General features: G+C 37.2%; 2 annotated features.

Annotated features, from left to right (window-relative positions):
- Window positions 3,565-3,859: an enhancer, noted in NCBI's record as "tiled region #5358; HepG2 Activating non-DNase unmatched - State 24:Quies". NCBI's record gives its function as "activates a minimal TATA promoter and a strong SV40 promoter by Sharpr-MPRA in HepG2 cells {active_cell/tissue: HepG2}" and the evidence as "EXISTENCE:reporter gene assay evidence [ECO:0000049][PMID:27701403]".
- Window positions 3,565-3,859: a silencer, noted in NCBI's record as "tiled region #5358; K562 Repressive DNase matched - State 9:DNaseU". NCBI's record gives its function as "weakly represses a minimal TATA promoter and a strong SV40 promoter by Sharpr-MPRA in K562 cells {active_cell/tissue: K562}" and the evidence as "EXISTENCE:reporter gene assay evidence [ECO:0000049][PMID:27701403]".

Raw genomic sequence — 4,261 nt, forward strand, 5'->3', positions numbered from 1 at the left:
GTCTCTCAGACCACAGTACAATCAAATTAGAACTCAGGATTAAGAAATTCACTCAAAACCACACAATTTCACAGAAATGGAACAACCTATTCCCGAATGACTCCTGGGTAAACAATAAAATTAAGGCAGAAATGAAGAAGTTCTTTGAAACCAATGAGAACAAAGAAAACATATCAGAATCTCTGGGACACAGCTAAAGCAGTGTTTAGAGGGAAATTTATGGCACTAAAGGCCCACATCAGAAAGCTAGAAAGATCTCAAATTCACACCCTAACATTACAATTAAAAGAGCTAGAGAAGCAAGAGAAAACGAATCCAAAAGCTGGAAGAGAAGAAATAACTAAGAGCAGGGAAGAATTGAAGGAGATAAAGACATGAGAAACCCTGCAAAAAAATCAAAGAATTCAGGAGGTGTTTTTTTGAAAAAATTAAAATAGATAGACCACTTGCTAGACTAATGAAGAAGGGAGAGAAGAATCAAATAGACACAATAAAAATGATACAAGGGATATCACCACTGACCCCAGAGAAATAAGAACTACCATCAGAGAATAATATAAACACCTCTATGCAAATAAACTGGAAAATCTAGAAGAAATGGATAAATTCCTGGACACACACACCCTTCTAAGACTGAACTAGGAAGAAGTTGAATCCCTGAATATACCAATAACAAGCTCTGAAATTGAGGCAGTAATTAATAGCCTACCAATCAAAAAAAGCCCAGGACCAGACAGATTCACAGCTGAATACTACCAGAAATACAAAGAGGAGCTGGTACCATTCCTTCTGAAACTAATCCAAACAACTGAAAAGGAGGGACTCCTCCCTAACACATTTCATGAAGCCAGCATCATTGTGATACCAACACCTGGCAGAGACACAACAAAAAAAGAAAACTTCAGGATAATATCCTTGATGAATATCAATGCAAAAATCCTCAATAAAATACTGGCAAACTGAACCCAGCAGCACAAAAAAACTTATCCACCATGATCAAGTCGTCTTCATCCCTGGGATGCAAGGCTGATTCGACATATACAAATCAATAAATGTAATCCATCACATAAACAGAACCAATGACAAATTCCACATGATTATCTCAATAGGTGCGGAAAAGGCCTTTGATAAAATTCAACACCCATTCACGTTAAAAACTCTCAATAATCTAGGTATTGATGGAACATACCTCAAAATAATAACAGCCATTTGTAACAAACCCATAGCCAATAAAATATTGAATGGGCAAGAGCTGCAGGCATTCCCTTTGAAATCCGGTGCAAGACAAGGATGCCCTCTTTCACCACCCCTATTCAACATAGTATTCAAAGTTCTGGCCAGGGCAATTAGGCAAGAGAAAGAAATAAAGGGCATTTGAATAGGAAGAGAGGAAGTCAGATTGTCTCTGTTGGCAGATGACATGATTCTATATTTAGAAATCCCCATCATCTCAGCCCCAAAACTCCTTAAGCTGATAAGCAACTTCAACAAAGTCTCAGGATACAAAACCAATGTGCAAAAATCAAAAGCATTGCTTTACACCAACAATAGGCAAGCAGAGAGCAAAATCATGAATGAACTCCTATTCAGAATTGTTACAGAGAATAAAATACCTAGGAATACAGGTAACAAGGGGTGTGAAGGACCTCTTCAAGAACTACAAAACACTGCTCAAGGAAATAAGAGAGGACACAAACAAATGGAAAAACATTCCATCCTCATTGATAAAAAGAATCAATATCATGAAAATGGCCATACTGCTCAAAGTAATTTACAGGTTCAATGCTATTCCAATCGAACTACCACTGACATTCTTCATGGAATTAGAAAACACTATTTTAAATTTCATATGGAATCAAAGAAGAACCCTGTATAGCCAAGAGAAGTATAAGCAAAAAGAACAAAGCTGGAGGCATCATGCTACCTGACTTCAAACTATATTACAAGGCTACAGTAACCAAAACAGCGTGGTACTTGTACCAAAACACATAGACAAATGCGGCAGAACAGAGACTTCAGAAATAACACCACATATCTACAACCATCTGATCTTTGACAAACCTGACAAAAACAAGCAATGGGGAAAGGATCTCCTATTCAATAAATAGTACTGGGAAAACTGGCAAACCATATGCAGAAAACTGAAACCGGACCCCTTCCTTACACCTTACACAAAAATTAACTCAAGATGGATTAAAGACTTAAGTGTAAAAACCAAAACGATAAAAACCCTAGAAGAAAACCTAGACAATACCATTCAGGGAATAGGCATAGACAAAGACTTCATGACTAAAACACCAAAAGCAATTGCAACAAAAGCCAAAATTAACAAATGGGACCTAATTAAACTAAAGAGCTTCTGCACAGCAAAGGAAACTATCATCAGAGTGAACGGGCCATCTAAAGAATGGGAGAAAAATTTTGCAATCTACCCATCTGACAAAGGTCTAATATCCAGAATTTACAAGGAACTTAAACATATTTACAAGAAAAAAAAACCATCAAAAATGGGCAAAAGACATGAACAGACAATTCTCAAATGAAGACATTTACATGGCCAAAAACATATGAAAAAAAGCTTAACATCACTGATCATTAGAGAAATGCAAATCAAAACCACAATGAGATACCATCTCATGCCAGTCAGAATGATGATTATTGAAAACTCAGGAAACAATAGATGCTGGCAAGGCTGTGGAGAAATAGGAACGCTTTTACACTATTGGTAGGAATGTAAATTCATTCAACTATTTTGGAAGACAGTATGGGGATTCCTCAAGGATCTAGAACTAGAAATACCATTTGATCCAGCAATCCCATTACTGGGTATATATCCAAAGGAATATAAATCATTCTTCTATAAAGACACATGCACATGTATGTTTACTGCAGCACTATTTACAATGGCAAAGACATGGAACAAACCCAAATGCCCATCAATGATAGACTGGATAAAGAAAATGTGATACATATAGAGCATTAAATACTATGCAGCCATAAAAAGGAATGAGATCATGTCCTTTGCAGGGACATGGATGAAGCTGGAAGCCATCATCCTCAGCAAACTAACACAGGAACAAAAAACCAAACACCACATGTTCTCACTCTTAAGTAGGATTTGAACATTGAGAACACATGGATACAGAGAGGGGAATAACACACACCAGGGCCTGTTGGGGGCTGGGGGGTGAGGGGAGGGAACTTAGAAGATGGGTCAATAGGTGAAGCAAACCACCATGGCACACATATACCTATGGAACAAATCTGCATGTTCTGCACATGTATCACATTTTTTTAGAATAAATTAAAAAAAAAAGAAAGAAAAGTCACCTCTTGGGTACAATGTACACCATTTAGTTGATGGTTACACTAAAAGTCCAGACTTCACCACTATGCAATATATCTATGGAACCAAATTGCACTTGTACCCCCTAATTCTATAAAAATAAAAAATACTAAAAATTTAAAAGATACTTTTCCTAGGATAGTCATGATGATTACATCATACAAAATTGTTCTTAGTATTTGGAATGAAAGGTATGGTAATTAGTTCTAGTCAACCTAGCCAGAAAAGTCACTTGAATTTCAGTGGAATGACATTTCCTGATATTGTTATGTGCTAGGTGCAAAAATATGGCCAAGGACAAAGTTCTGGTAAGCAGACTGAGTGGAGATTCTGAGTATGAGGTCTTTGGTCCGGCTTTGGGTCCTCTGCTGACTCACAGATTGGTGCCCATAAACAAACAAAACTTTGTTCTTAGTCACACTAGCTACATTCTGAGTGTTCAGCAGCCACATATCTAGTGACTTTCATACTGGATGGTGCAGATAAAAAGCATTTCCTTCATCACAGAAGGTTCTATTCAACAGTGCTGGTCTAGCCCTATGGGAGTGAGCTTGGCATCTCCTTAAATGAGATGAAGGCTTGGAAGGCCCAAATAGTGGGGAGACTGGTGACTATTCATTAGGATAAATTTAGGACATATTCAAGTGTCAATCAGAGATAACAAATGCCTCTAATTAAATATGTGACTGGTGGATGAAACAAGCATATTTATGCCTGTAGCAGAGAGTTGGAGACAAGGGGACTAATAGTCATTACTTTAATAACAATGCTATCTTCCTCTACAGTGAAAAAATGTTTGCTATTTATTTAGCTCTATAGATACAAAGTCCTATGAAAATAAGTCAGTGGGCTATCGTGACTTCTGGACTGATTATCCCCTCAAAAATCATATTAGCACACTTGAATTTCGCTCTC

Source organism: Homo sapiens, chromosome 1, assembly GCF_000001405.40.
Source record: "Homo sapiens chromosome 1, GRCh38.p14 Primary Assembly".
In the NCBI taxonomy this organism is placed as follows: Eukaryota; Metazoa; Chordata; class Mammalia; order Primates; family Hominidae; genus Homo; species Homo sapiens.